Here is a 15,953-nt window from a genome sequence, read left to right as displayed (position 1 = left end):
ATTCAACATACTTATTGTGTTGCATTCTTTTGGATTTTTTTATCATCTGGCACTACATTGAATTTGGGAAATATGTCAAATTCTGAAGGCTACGTGCATTTTTACATACAAGCTTTAAATATTATAAATGAGGCTTTTGAAAATTCATTTATGGATGAACCATTGACTAACATTAATATATCCCAATTTAAGCCAGGTGGGATGGTGCATGTCTATAGTTCCACCTACTTGAGAGACTTAGGTGAGAGGATTGCTTGAGCACAGGAGTTTAAGTGCAGTCTAGGTAACATATTGAGACTCCCATCTCTAGAAAAACATATAAAGGAAAACATTGTTTTGAATATATCAAACTTTATTATTCTCCAGCTTTGGACAAACCTAAAAATCAGAATCTTGATGTGAAAACTTAGAAATTCAAACAAGCAGACTTCTTGATGGCTTTTTTTGAAATATTAATTAAAACAGAAAATAAACTTGCTCTTGCTTTCTTTTGGAAAAAAGAAAAATTATTGGAAGGCCTTAGATGATCGAACATTCCCCGTGTATTTCCCTGTGTAAATTCCAATGTTGCTGCTAATCCCCTCTTACTATATAGGCAGTAAATAGAGCTTAGAGTTTAGAAAAATAGCCTTTGGAGTCAACGAATCTTGGGATCTATCTCCTACTCTGGTGTTTCTTGATTATATAGACTTTGGAAAAATTACTGATCTTTTCTAAGTTTTGGCTTGGAAATTACGATATATAGTAGCAATAACCTCATACCATTATTTGGAAAGCTGATTGAAATGCAATATACAAAGCACTTGCTATAGTACCTAGCATGTGCTCAATGAATGTTAGTTTAGTGACTTCACTCATAAATCCTAACAACAGCTATGGGAGTCATGAATTAAAGTTTTCATTATTTAAAGGAAAGTAAGTATTTGAATATTCTTCTCATTATTTTTAAGTAAGGATAGTTCTTTGCCAGAAAACCACATTAGTGTTCTAGTCCATTTCCTTGTTTATTACATATTTTCTAGGTACTGGTTATGGTTGCTCTAGAGAACAGTCATTATTCCTATTTTTCTGGTTAAAATATTACTCACATGGAATTTTTATAGAGTGTCAACAGATTATGGTGGACTTGCACCCAATTCCCCAGTTATCTTTGTTTTTTCTCTAACTCTTTGTTACTTCTTCAAATTAAATGTAGCACTGATTCATTTAAAACTTAGTCAGTAAGTTCGAGACCAGCCTGGCCAACATGGAGAAACCCCGTCTCCACGAAAAATACAAAATTAGGCAGGTGTAGTGGCGCATGCCTGTAATCCCAGCTACTCAGGAACCTGAGGCAGGAGAATCGCTTGAACCAGGGAGGCAGAGGTTGCGGTGAGTGGAGATCATGCCATTGCACTCCAGCCTGGGCAACAAGAGCAAAACTCTGTCTCAAAAAGAAAAAAAAAAGGAAAGAAAAAAAAGTTAGTCAATAAGTTAACAGTTGTTACCCTACAGTGAAGTGTGCTGAATTTTGTTTTAGATTGAGAGATTGAGGCTCGACTTTTGTTATCTGAATTCAATATTATGTAAAATGTATAATTAACCAACAGGAGTTTTGGTTAGTAAAATTGGAATTCAACTGAAATTTACACAATATAACTTTGGTTTCTAGTTAATTTAAAGTGAGTGTAGTTCATAAATTGAGCACAGTTTCCATAAAAGATAAATGCAGTTTGTCACGGGCAAATAATTTTCCTGCCAACACCAAAATCTAGGCACTGGAAAATATTATTTTCTTTTCCCTTCCAGTACGCCCACCCCTAGCATCTGCCACGCTTCTCACTGCCAGGCTTAGGGCATGATTAGGAACTGAGAAGTGACGTCCTGCTAACTCTTTCCCTATTAGAGAAGAAGACAGGTAGAGAATCAGAAGTTCTCTGGACCAGTGGTCCTCACACTTTCTGGGCCCAACTGCTGCGACTTACCATAAATCCATTGCTTTCTAAGCCAATGCTCTTTTACTTCCTAAATCTAAACACATAAAAAACATGATCTATCTAAAGAAGAAATATTTTTAAAAAGCCCAGTTTCTCTGAAATGTTAAAAAAAAAAAGAGGTAAGAGAAAGTCAATGCATAATAAATAGCACATATTTTAATATGTAAATGTTCAGGCATGACCAAGCATAGTGAATTCATTAGATGCTTTTACTTATACCTAAGATCTCTGTGGGTGTGATAGATGGGGTATATTATATTGACAAATTGGGCGATTGGTAGTGGGACTTTCCGAAATGTTTTTAAATAAAATAAATTTATCCTAGATGTACATGGTAATTCTACGGCGGGGAAATTCATGTATGTTAAAACAGTGTAGAAGTGACTTTCCTTTTACTGGAGCTCCTGGCGTAACTGCACAGAAGCATGCACTACCACAGCCTGCATTTGCCTCTAGTAATTGCAAGCTCTACACTGGGCTGGAAAGACCCCATGGGAATGTGAGAGTGATTTAGATATTGCACACAAATTTAGAAAAAAACAGTGGTAAGCTGTAAATGCTATGAATCCCCTGAACACCTGTGTGTACAAAGAGGTTCCTGTGGCTTGGAATATAACTTAGGTTGTATGGTCTTGGAACTTGGCCTGAAGAAATTCAGAATCTGGAAAACACCACAGCTTTACCTCTTTCTCGGATGAATTTTTTTTTTTTTTTTTTTTTTTTGAGACACAGTCTCACTCTGTTGCCCAGGCTGGAGTGCAGTGGCGTGATCTTGAATCACTGCAACCTCTGCCTCCCAGGTTCAAGTGATTCTCCTGCCTCGACCTCCCGAGTAGCTGGGATTACAGGCACATGCCACCACCTCTGGCTAATTTTTGTATTTTTGGTAGAGACAGGTTTCACCATGTTGGCCATGCTGGTCTCGAACTTCTGACCTAAGGTGATCCGCCTGCCTCGGCCTCCCAAAGTTCTGGGATTACAGGCATGAGCCATGGCGCCTGGCCTCTCAGATAATTTTTATTAGTGGTACTCTGCAGATTCCTGTGGCATCAGTGGATTGATTACCACTGTGGTGCTTCTACCTTGTAGTTTATAGACTGTTCCTAAGCAATGGTCAATATTCTATGCCACCATATTCTGAGTATTGTGCATTTCCCACCGTTGTCAGAAATTCACCAACTGAGCAGGACCCCTGATGCCAGTCTTTATTCTGCATTCACAGGACTGCAGAATTCTAGCCATGGTGCAACTTCTATTTTTGACTGTCCTTTTGCAGGACAAGCATATGAAAATTCTGGACCAGGATTCTGGACTGGTGTGGGAACTGGAGGAATATTGGGTATTTGTTTGGCAGCAGTATATCAGCAGCACTCTTTTTAGACATGTGGCACCCGCCCCCCATCTTATCCTCCATTGTACTCTAGCACATGGAATAATCATCCTACTGCTTAGAGGAGGCCCAGGTCAAACTCTGACCCGAGAACAACAACTGCCTCAGGGTATGGTGGTATCAGAAGATGATAAAGTAGAAAACTGAAGGAAAATATTGGTTGCAAAATTTCTGATTTTTCTTCACTTTATATTTAAAGAAAGTGCATCCTGTTAACAATTGTGGAAAGGGAATAGTAAACAGTTGTGTTCTTTGAGAGTTAATATATAACCAAATACTTGTATATTGTAAGTTAGTGTAGCATGCATATGTGTATCTCAGTTTTTGAAAGTGTTGATTACTGTGGAAGGCTGAAAATGTATTGTTTTATTTCTAAAACCTGTGAAGCCATAAGAAACATTAAGAATGAAAGTGTTGTACCAATAGAAAGCAGATACCAAAAAGTTCTATCTTAGGTGGTTTTAGTTGATGAGTCATTACCTCATTGAGACAATAATATTCTATTTGGTGTTATATTATTTGTAGTTTGCTATGATTTAAGCATTTAACTGAAATTTTGTACTATTAATTATGCTACCTTATGGGTTCTGATTGCTTTTGAGCTCAGGACTTTGAATTCTTCAGTAGTAATGACGGTGATTTGGAAGCAGCTTGTATAGGAAAAGATAGAAAATAAGCATCTAGAAGGTTGTTGTGAATAATTGTGTGCTGATGGAAATGCTTGAAACCTCTATATTTCATCAGTTCCTAAGAGATAATATTCAAATACTTCAACAGTGGTCTTTTAATAGCAAAAGCATGCAGTTCTCTGTGGAATCTCAAGAATAGTGGTAACAGTCTGTTTCAGTCTTACATTAAAATGGAATAATTACATAATTATATAAATTTTCATGTAGAATCAAATTAGGTACAGTCAGATAATTATAAACAAAGTGAATGTTCAAAGAGACATTCAAAAGCTATGCCGGAAGTATGTTGGGCTGCCCCATTAGCTAGAACAGCTCCTCTTCATCCTAATGGCAATAGTCATTTGCATAAAAACTGCTCTGGAGACTGGGCATGAGGTACACTATCACTCCATTAAGACCATGCTGCCTGAGCACATTCTCATCTTGGGGATTATAACCATCAGTTCTGGGGAAGATAATGAACATTCTTGTAGGAAACCTGGACCTTATTTCTTTATCTGCTGAGAAAATCAACTCAAAAATAAAGATCTATTTTTTAATAAGCTTTTATAAGAATACTTTTAGGGTTACAGAAAAATTGTGAAGATAGCACAGAAAGCATATACCCTCACCAAGTCTCCCCTGTTATTAACATCTTACATTGGTATGGTACATTGGTCAGAACTAATGAAGCAATGTTGATATATTTTTATTAACTAAAGTCTAAGCTTTATTCGTATCTCTTTGGCTCTTTCCTAAGGTCCTTTTTGTGTTCAAAGATCTCTTCCAGGATACCACATAATATTTATCTTGGCTGTTTCTCAGACTTTGCTTGTTTTTGATGACCTTGACAGTTTTGAAGTATACTAGTCACGTGTTGGGAAGAATATCCCTGAACTTGTATTTGTCTGATATTTTTCTTATGATCAGATTAGAGTTATGGGTTTGGGGAAGAAGACCACAGAGGTAAAGTGCCATTAACATCACATCATATGAAGAGTACATACTGTCAATATTACATATCACTGTTGATTTTAATCTTGATCACCTGGCTGAGGAATTGTTTGTCGGGTTTCTTCACTATAAAGTTATTTTTTTCCTGCCCACGTCCATACTCTGTGAACTCATTCCACTTCCATTTGTCTTTGAAAGAAAGTCACTATTGACAGTCCACCTTTAAAGAGTAGGGAGTTATGCTCCACCTACTTAAGGAAGAGTATCCATATAAATTATTTTGAATTCTGCAAACCTTTGTAAGATTTCTATATTCTTCACATTTATTTACTTATATCATCATTTATTTATGTGATTATGGATTCATGGATATTTGTTTTATCCTTTAAGTTGTAATACAATACTACTTTATTTCTGCCTTTTTTGTTGCTCAAAATTTGCACACTTTGGTCATTAGGAGCTCTATTCACTGCTGTCCTTTTGACAGACCCCATCATTTTTTGTGTGTGTTTATGTGTGTGTTGGTGTGTGGTTTATTTATTGCTATGTTGCTGTTGTTTTTAGCACTTCTGGCACTACAAAATGTTCCAGGCTTGTCTTGTATATTTCCCAACCCAGTCCTAGAATCAGCTATTTCTCCGTGGATCTTTAACTTCTTTTATTGGAGAATGGTGTTAGAAACCAACAGCTAGGCTCTAGGTATTGTCAAAGCCAAAACTGTGCCTGGCAAATTTAAACAGTAAAAGCAGTAAAAGGAAGATTCATTCAAGGCAACTGCAGACATGGAGAGAGGCCACAAGTTAATCTGAGCTTAATTCTCCTTAAAACAAATGGCGGAAGAAATTTTAAGAGCTGGGATAGGGGAATCCTAGGCCACTTTTGTTTTCTAATTTTCCTTATCCAATGGAAAAGTAAACTTTCTCTGATCTTCATGACTGAAGGTAGTTTTATAGCTTGAACCATCATGCCCTAGGAAGTTGGGGGCTCATTCTCCCAGAGCCTGGGAGATGAGGAAACTATTTTATGATTACATTGCAAAAGAATGGCTTCCAGATTCCTGAAAAAGACATTCCTGGCTATAAAGCTGGCTAGAGGCTGTTTAAAAGATTTATATCTCAAAGGAACATAGAAATATTTATATTCACAAATTTTCTAAGGTAAAAGCTTTAGAAAAGAGGTCAGGAGCCTAGAGTCAGGAAAAAGTCTGTTAAAATTTAGTCCAGCTGAGGGAAACTTTAAGGTTATATTAGTCAGCATTATCTTTGTTACTGGGGTCCCATTACTTCTAGGATCACTCAGCAGATGGAGCAAAGTAAACATATGTGCATTCTAACCCTTGTATATGCACATATTTATAAAAACTTCTACGTATCTATTTTATTTGTTTCCTGTGTCTGCCCTGTGGTAACAAATTACCACAAAATCAGTGGCTTAAAACGATATAAATTTATTCTGTCACAGACTGGAAGCCAGAAGTCCTAAAGTGAGGTGCTGGCAGAGCCATGCTCCTTTCCCAAGGCTCCTAGAGGAGAATATAGTCCTTGCCTCTTTCAGCCTCCTGTGGCTTTAGGCATTCCATGGTATCTGCACTCACCCCAGTCTCAGCTTGCATGGTCTCATTGCCTGCTCATCTGTCCCAAAGCTCTCTCTTGCCCTGTCTTAAAGGATACATGTGAGTGCATGTAAGGCCCACCCAAGTACACCAGAATAAACTCTTCTCAAAATTCTTAGTTAAATCACATATTTTGCCATATAAGGTAATGTTCGTAAGTTCCAGGGATTAGAACAGATACATTTTTTTTTTTTTGGAAGTCACCAATCAGCTCACTGCGGTATCCATCTACATCTATATTAAACTGAACATGAGTTCATCCTGATGTTTCTAACCCTAATCCAGTAATATACCAATCATTCTAGTCTTCAAAGCTTGCTTGTCTGTAACTTCCAACTCCAATATGAGAAGCCTGGCTCCCAGCATCAGTCACCATTTACTTAATTACCCAATTCCATCATACATGTATAGTGGTTTCAGAATTGTTCACTTGTAGCCTGGAACAAGTCAACTCCTGAGGAAGACAACTCAAGAAATAAAAGTCTTTTTAGTCCAGCAGTCTGATCACAAAAATGCCAAATATTCAAGGAACTATTAGCAGGGTTTTTTTTATTGCTTTAAAGACATAATTTGTCTAATTAATATAATGAAAGAGAACTATTTGTTGAGCAGTAACAATTTTTTCACAAGTATTTTTTTATTTTTCAACAAAAGAAGAGAACGCATTTTCCAAATTGGCATAGAACCTGTAAAATCACCTGGGAAATCACCAAAACTGATTTACTTTGTTGCATATTTCTTCTTTGAGTTTATAGTTTTCCTTTGGTTCTTGACTTCCTACCACAGAAGACAACTCCTCTCATGAGGCCTTCTTATGGAAACATTAATTTTACATAAAATTATCTTGCATTAGTAGGGACAGCTGTTGAGGAGGAGCCCATGAACAGAATTGTCAGATGTGAATGAGCCACAAACAATTTCCCACAGCTGAATTCATTTGAATAGCACTCATTAAAAAAAGAAAATGCCTGCCAATGAACTGTTTATAATATGGGGAAAAATGTGGAAACAGCCTAACTGATTCTGTGTAGCAGCCTAAATAGTTTTATTCTTATAATAGAAGACTATTTAACAACATGTATCAACACTGATAAATTTTAAAACTTAATGTTATGTTTAAAAAGTAAGTTGTTTATGCAAATGTTTAAATACATAATGATAATATATGTTGTTTATGAGTATCTACCTATGTATATAATGTGCAAGAATTTGCATGGGAATAATAGATTCCAGTTTCAGGATAGCAGGCACCCCTGGGGAAAGAGATAAAGAGAAATGGAATGCGGAGGCACCAACTTTAATTGTTTTTGTGACATATTTGTCTTCCTAAAGAGAGATCTAAATATAATATAGCAGTAGGAAAATACTTCTTAAATCTTAATGATAGATATAGGGTATGTCATTTTATTTTCTACTCTTCTCTATGTTATTTTCATTTAAATAGGCCAAAATAGCTTAGAATTCTAAACTGCAATAATATTTGAGTATAGATACTTAATTATTTAAGTATATGAATTTTTGTTTTGAATACTCCATTTGTATCAATAAAACAATGCCAACAATGTATATCAAGACTATATATATGCAATCTTCCCTTGAAATATTTTTTAAACTCCTAAAGAGCTACATTTATTTAAAATTTAAAATTGATAAATTCTCCCTGTCCTAAAGTTTCTTCCCTTAATGAAAGATACATTTTAAAAATTTATTTTAACATCAATTTAATCTCTGCTTAGTTCTTCAGCTGACAAAGCATTTTCCCATATAAGAGACCAAGCCCAGCCTTTGTGGTAAGTTTACAGGGAATATTTACTTTCTGTACACATTTGTATCGTTAAACATGCAGAAACTCTGAGAGGTTAAATCACTTTCCCCAAATCAGTTGTTGAATTGATATAAAACATAGCTCTTTCCATTCTTAATTGCTAAGTCTTATGATAAATATTTCTATTTAAATATTAAAGAAGACTTTAAAAGGTTTACTTCTTTATTCCCTGGTTTGGTGTTTTTATTACCTTGTTAACTGTCATTTTATTTTGGTTTGTTTGCTTTGATAGGGCAAGAGAACAGGAGTTGGTGAGAAGTACAGAATCTGCCTGAAATTGGCTATAAACACAAATATCTATTGGTCTCTCTCTTTCTCTTTCTCTCTCTCTCTGTCTCCTCTCTCTCTCTGTTTTTCCACATTGTGGGAATTCTTGCAGATAAACAAACCCCTCTTCTGGAATGCTAATAATGCCTGGATGTTTAAAACCTTAGTTAAATTTGAGTTTCTTTAATCAGATTTAATGGAAAGAAATTGAACTTAGTGAAATCAAATTGAGGGAATAAAACTTATTCTAAGCAATCACACCTAACAGCAATGGAAAATGAGAAAATAAGAAATATAGAGTGTGTGAAAACATTAATCTAAGTGTGGTAGCATCTAAAGGTGGAGTGCTTGAGTTTGAGCTCAATGAGGGACTGCTTCGTTCTGTATCTAGTTGAGTTATTCCTCAAAGAGGTTCAGTGACACTGTATTAACATTTAAGGAGATTAATTAAAATTCATAATTTTTACCCCAAATTCTACTGCCCCTCTACAGCAGTGGTTCTTAAACTTTAGCATGCATAAGAATCACCTGGAAGTTACTAAAACACAAATTGCTGGGCCCCACTGATTCGTTATGGCATGGGTGGGGTAAGAGGTTTGCATTTCTAGCAAGGTCTGTTATGATGCTATTGATGCTAATTGTGGGAAAACCACATCAAGTTTTACTCCTACATCGCTTGTTTCTTCTCAAATTTCATTGCTAGCTTCTTTTCCTCTCCAGACATCCTAAGACTGGAATACTGCAAATGCAGACCTTGGTTATTTGGTGATCTCATCAAATGTCACCCAACCTCGTGACTTTAAATATCATTTTGTAGGCCAAGGCTCTCAAATGTATATTTCCTGCCCAGATTTCTCCCCTGACCTTCAGACACATATATGCAAATGTCTACCCAACCTCTCCATTTCTATTTCTAATAGGCATCTCAGTTGACGTATCTTAAAGCAGAACTCTTGGACTTCATCTCTCAACTGCTCCCCGCAGAGTCTTCCCCATCTTAACTGATAACAATTCAATTCCAGTGGATTAGTATAAAATCTTGAAATCATCCTTGAGTTCTCTCTTTCACACAATACAACCCATACAGAAATCTGACCACATTTCGCCACCTCTATTGCTGCCACCCTGGTCTGAGCATCATCTTTCATCTGGATTATTACAATAGTCCTCTAACTACATATCCTAAACCATACTTCTACCCTGGTCGCTCTATGGTCTGTTCTCAACACAGCAGCCAAAGTGATGCTAAAACTCAGTTTTTGTTATTATTGCCCTCAGAACCCTCCAGACTACCTGTCTTACTCCAGATGGAAGCCAACATTCTTAGAATGACCCATGGACACGACTCATGCTCTGACTTCACCTCATACTATGTTTTCCCTAGTTCACTCCATGTTGTCTGCACCAGCCCCCATCCTGTTCCACAAAACAGACAGTACATTACACCTGAGGGCCCTTGTATTTGCTGTTTTCTATAATAAAATACTTTTACTCCTGATATCCACATGTTCACTTCTTTCAAGTCTTTGTTGAAATAGCATCTTCTCTATGATACCTACTGGGACTTCCCAACTTAAAATGGCAATACCCCTTCCCTCATCCTCAGCATTTCCAATCTTCCCGAACATCCTCTATTATATTTTCCAAAGCATATATCTTCTCTCTGTTACATAAAACATATTTATTGTGTATTTTTATTGTTTATTTCTATCTGCACTAGAACCTAAACTCCATTATGTTTTATATAATAATATATCCATGTATTAAGAATACTGTCTGACACCCATGAACATGCATGTAATGGAGGAATGGATTGATCATCAAGATCTACAACTTCTTTTCTTTAATATTGTCATGATAATATCAACATTTGTTCTTTATTATCAATATGCAGTAATTATGCTATGTATTCACCATACCTTATCATTTTTAATCTTCACAACCAACTATTGAGGTGACTATTTTTATGCTTATTTTGCAAGGGAGGAAACAAGTTCATTGGGATATAATAACTTTCTAACATTACAGCCTAGTGGGGGTAACATTTGATTCAATTCAATCCAAGAATTGTGCTCTCACCTACTATACTGTGAGGTTTGCTATTCATTTCTTGGGACTTTTGCTTATTATCAGATTGCAAACATGGATAATGTGAGTCTACGTTTGAGAGATTGATCCACTGTTAGTGTCCTGAACAAAATCAAATATTTAACCCCAAAAGATTGCGGGGAAGGCACTGATCTAGGGAATATTCAGTAAGAAAATGTTACATCTTGAGATTCCTTTTAGCCAGCCAGTTCTCTTCTCCCTTAGAGCTCATCTTTTGTTCAGATTGAACATTTGCAGAGGTCAGACATGGGGCAGGCCAGGCATGGTGTCAGGCCCTGGAAAAATTGGTAAAACGAAGAACTCATTAACAGTCTAATAGGAAGAAGGGATTCTTAAAATACGTCTTGATATGCACTCTAATTGAGGCATGTTGACATTAGAATACGTGGTCTGTAGAGAACATCTAAGTTTACCAAGAGTTATAAGGGAGGCATCTCAGGTATTAGGTTAGATGAGTAAGTGGTCCACAAAACATTGGTGTGAAGGGCAAGAGGGAATCCAAGTACACTCAGTTCTTTTATTTGGCATTGCATGGCAAAGGCACACAGTAAGGAATAATTGATTTTTCAGTTCTGTATTTTTTGGATGCCTTTGATTATAATTAGGGCCATACTTTCTTTTTGTTCACTTCCTCCCTTAACTCTTTCTCCTCTTTTATTTATGTCTCTTTTTTACTTATAAGTGTTGAAATAAGGAGATGGTGTCTCCATTGCCAGTGGGGAGGATTTGTGAGATAATGGGAAAAGTCAAATGTCTAAATACTGAAATTCATATACTACATAATTGTCCCAGCAGAATTTTTTTAAACTTTAAACACATCAAAGAATTATCTTCTGTTGCCTGGTTTCTCTACAAGTGTTCCATATTAAATTTTTCATTTTGCCTACAACATACATACATAATTAAGTGCTTCATTGGAAGATGCTTATTTTTCATTTCTTTTGTAATTCTCCTTCTGCTTTCCACTCAGACTTTAGGGCTGTATTGTATTCTATAAAGAGTATATACTTAATAAATCAATATTTACTAACGTAAAACCATAAACCTGTCAATAACCGGTGGGGAACTTATCATGAATTTTAAAAAATGTTTACTTTCCCATCAGTCTTAACTGCTATATTTGAAATATAGCGTGTTTTTCTAGCTATGTCATGTTAACCTAAAAAAAAAAAATTCTTCATTTCCTCTTCTCCTTACCACATCTCAGAGATAATTTTCTAATGGAGAAGTTATTTTATATTTTTCTTCAAAACTATATATATATATATATATATATGTTTATGTATATATATTTGTGTATATATGTATATTACATGCTATATATATATAGCATGTATATATTAATTGAATAATCTGCAATAAACTCAATAAATATATTTATTACTAATTGGTTAATCTTCAATAGTCAATTTGCTGTTCACTTTTTTTGGTTTCCCTTTGGGAAATTGAATAAATTGATTTTTTTCAATATAAAATTTAAAATTTTGGAACTTTAAGGAAAAGTTTTCTTTTTTTAATTTTCTGTAATAAAGATATTTGGGGAAACAATACTTGTCTTTCGTTGGTATCTAAAATAAGGTTGTTGATATTTCTTAGTGTGGCATTTGAATGGCTTGGAAAATATAATTGAAAGCGATTATTTTTATGGTAAAGCACCATAAAAGTTTCAGATAAAATACAGGCTATATGTAATATTAAGTATTTATGAGTATGTTAGAGTGAAATTTGGAAATTATACTGAGCCAGAGATGATTACTGTGTAGGTAGTTCAGAACAGATGATACATTTATCTTGTTTCACATTAATCTTCAACTGATCTGATATGGAAGTAAATAATAGTTGTCAGCTTTGTTGTGATTTTGATGAATTTTAAGTGCTTTGGTAATTAATTCTCATAGTGTATTCTTTGCAGGCTGAGATGCTGACTATATTTATAACACTCATATATTCACTGAAGACTTAGATTTGATGATGTGTGAAAATGAATCTGAGGAACAAATTTGAAAATGTGGCTTTGCTTGTTTTTTATGACCTGCCTGATTTAATGAAGTGGCTAATAGCACGGTTTGCTAATGCTTTCTTCCTAGATGTTACCTTGTGTTATATTCTGGTTTTATTTAGAAAAGGTAGATATATACAGTTACCACAAAGGCAGCATGAATGAAGGAGTTTGCCAAGTTATAGTTATAACAAGTGAAATTTTCATGCAATTTCTAAAAATAAAAGAAAATACATTCCTGTAAATTTTCCTGTTTTCTATGATGAATATCTTCTTGCTCCTGAACTTTCATTTCCTCATATAAAGTAACACGTGTCATAAAAGAGATCTCAGTCTCTTTTAGTTTGAAACACTCTCACTAGTTTTGTGTGTGTGTGTGTATGTGTGTGTTTGCTGTGGGGTGGTTCTGTTTTAGGAACTTTTTTCCTTCCTCCCTTGCCAAGGTAGTATCTAGAAGGACAGAGAAATGTATGTATTTTTGTGTTATTGAGTTAGATGTTCTTCATTTTAGGTGTCTCAACCTGATCTCATGGCACCTGCTACAGTGAGATTCTGCCTTTCAGGATATTGAGCATCATGACCTAGTGTCCACTGAGATATGGTGGGTACCATCTTGTCTTTCAAGTGTTGTTCTGAAATCCAGTGCTGGTGACTATAGATCTGGCCTTTGCCAATAATCAAGAGTTCCCAAACTCCGGAACCCTCTTTTCCTGAATCCAGTCCTCTTGAAATCCACCAGCATTCTCAGAACTTCTTGTGCATGCTCTGCTGTCCATTGCCCTTAAAATTTCAACTACACATTTCATACTCCAAGCTGTAGTGTACCAGACCATCTGAGGCTGCTCTCATGTCTACTCAACTAGGCAACATTTCACCCAATATAGGCAATTTTGCCTATATGGAGACATATATATGTATATACCATTATAATCCAAGAAGATCTTTGCTATAACAATAAGTTCAAATTTATTGTTCACATATTTGAAATCTTCTTGTTGCATGGTGGCCATAACACCTGCTAAAATGGGAACTTCTCTGAAGACGTTAGAACTTGCCGGGACTGTACTGGGGGAAGCAGGAAACCTCCCCCTAATTATCCATTTCTCCAATCAACCTGAATCTTTCAAACTACTCCATCTTCTCCCTCCCTAGAATTTCAACACTGACTGGGGAGCAAGCCATTTGCATATCAGCACTACTCTCTTTTTTCTCATCTTCTTGCTTCCCTCCTCTACTTCTGAAAGAGTTCTTGTGTGGCAATTACTTTATCTGCTCTCACTTCTGACTTCATGAACTGTCTTCTCAGCTTTGGTTCTTGATGTATATCAAGTGTGCTTGGGTTGTTTCTAGAAAAGTTCTTTTTCTCCCTCTTGAAAGAGTGCCTTGCTATGAATTTTTGAGTTAAATTTGAAACTCAAAGTTTAACAGTAAATTATTAGTGCTTAGGGTCCCTTATAGTCTTTTTTAAAAGAATGAAAAGTAAAAAGAAACCAGTATAATTTCCAAGAGGGAAAATGCATTAATAGAGTTTCAAAATATTTTTTCCTGATACATAATATTTGTACATCTTTATGGAGTACCTGTGATATTTTGTTACATGCATAGAACATGTAATAATAAAATCAGGGCATTTAGGATATCCATCACCCTGAAAATTTCTCAATTTTATGTGGTGGGAACGTTTTAAGTCCTCTCTTCTAGTTGTTAACATTTTGAAATATATGATAAATTTTTGTTTACTATAGTAATAGTCACCCCACTCTGCTATGGACTTTTAGAACTTATTCCTTCTATCTACCTCTATGTTTGTACCCATTAATCAACCTCTCTTTATCTCCCTCTTTTTACACACACACCCTTCCCAGCCTCTGGTAACTACCATTCTACTCTCAACCTCCATGAAAGGAAAATTTTAGCTCACACATATGAGTGAGAACATGCAATATTTGTCTTTCTGTGCCTTGCTTATTTCACTTAACCTAATGACCTACATATCCATCCATGTTGCTGTAAATGACAGGATTTCATGTTTTTATGGCCAAATTGTATTCTATTGTGTATATATGTCACATATTCTTTACCCATTCGTTTTTTTATTTTGGTAAAAAAACTAGCAAGGGAGTGATAATTTAAAGACAAATATGATATTATTGTGCAAATTTACTAGGATGATACAGTGACTTCAGGAAATATATATATATCCTGATAATTCACAAATTATCATATATATACACACATTTGTATATACACAAATGTGTATATATATATGTAGATAGATAGATATATAGATAGATAGATAGATAGATAGATAGATAGATAGATAGATAGATTTGTGAATTTAGAAACCGTTACAATCAAAGAGGAGTTTTGGTATAACATTGATAAGTTCTAATTCATTGTTCACATATTCATAACTATAAAACTATTTCTTATTCAGAGCAATTTTTGCATCCAAATTCAGTTTCTGCCCCCCAAAATTCACGAATTTTCAAAGGTGGAAAATTTCAAGTTGTGGAAAATCACTGCAGAAAGTCTGTAACTCAGTGTAATCTACCAGCACTTAATTTGGCATAAATTTGAGATCTTCTAGGTTGTACTTTTTTAAATAACCTAGGCCTAAAGAATAGGATAAGAAAGGCATTGAATATACAAACTATTTAAAAATATATGCATAAATTTGATAAATTATACAATCGTAAGTAAGCTTTGGAGAATGTGAGTACCTTTATAGAATATCCTTTTATACTAAAATATTGTGATGTCATCCTTTTATATTAAAACGTTGTGATGTCATTTGTAACCATTATATACTTCAATACCTAAATGCATTTTGAACATTTTATCCAATGCCCTTTCCATCATGGTTAAACATTTCATTTTATTAAATCCCTTTCTTCTACCAAGATATTGGTAACACTGGATATGAAACTGAGCTCTAAAACTTTACTCAGAAAGTTAAGTGCCCCTCACCAACATTATGATACAAAGTTGCACTGTCAGCTGCATTTTGGCCAAAAACCAAATACATAAGAAACACATTACTAACAAAAAAAAATTAAATGATATTTGTTAAATGAAGATGCCTTCTTGGTTGAGATAAAGGGGATTTTATTCTATCAGTGAAAAACTGCTTCAGTTAATATGTTGAGAGGG

At 35.1% G+C, this 15,953-nt stretch overlaps 1 protein-coding gene and 1 long non-coding RNA gene across 45 annotated transcripts in view; one reads left to right on the top strand and one right to left on the bottom strand.

The window, feature by feature from the left end:
• Positions 1-15,953, top strand: part of PPFIA2 (PPFI scaffold protein A2) — a 501,376-nt gene that overhangs the window by 210,528 nt on the left and 274,895 nt on the right. The window contains exon 2 of one of the 44 annotated variants that reach the window (XM_017020118.2): positions 13,312-13,401. The exons of the other annotated variants lie outside the window; for them this stretch is intronic. Within the exon in view, the coding sequence (XP_016875607.1) occupies positions 13,399-13,401 (3 nt within the window). The 5' untranslated portion in view covers positions 13,312-13,398. The remainder of the gene's footprint in view (positions 1-13,311; positions 13,402-15,953) is intronic. 44 annotated transcript variants of the gene reach the window in all.
• PPFIA2-AS2 (PPFIA2 antisense RNA 2) overlaps positions 1-15,953 on the bottom strand; it is a 141,042-nt gene that overhangs the window by 9,324 nt on the left and 115,765 nt on the right. The window lies entirely within an intron of this gene.

The sequence above is a fragment of the Homo sapiens genome, chromosome 12 (genome assembly GCF_000001405.40).
Source record: "Homo sapiens chromosome 12, GRCh38.p14 Primary Assembly".
Lineage (NCBI taxonomy): Eukaryota > Metazoa > Chordata > Mammalia > Primates > Hominidae > Homo > Homo sapiens.
This window is presented reverse-complemented; position numbering and strand designations above follow the sequence as displayed.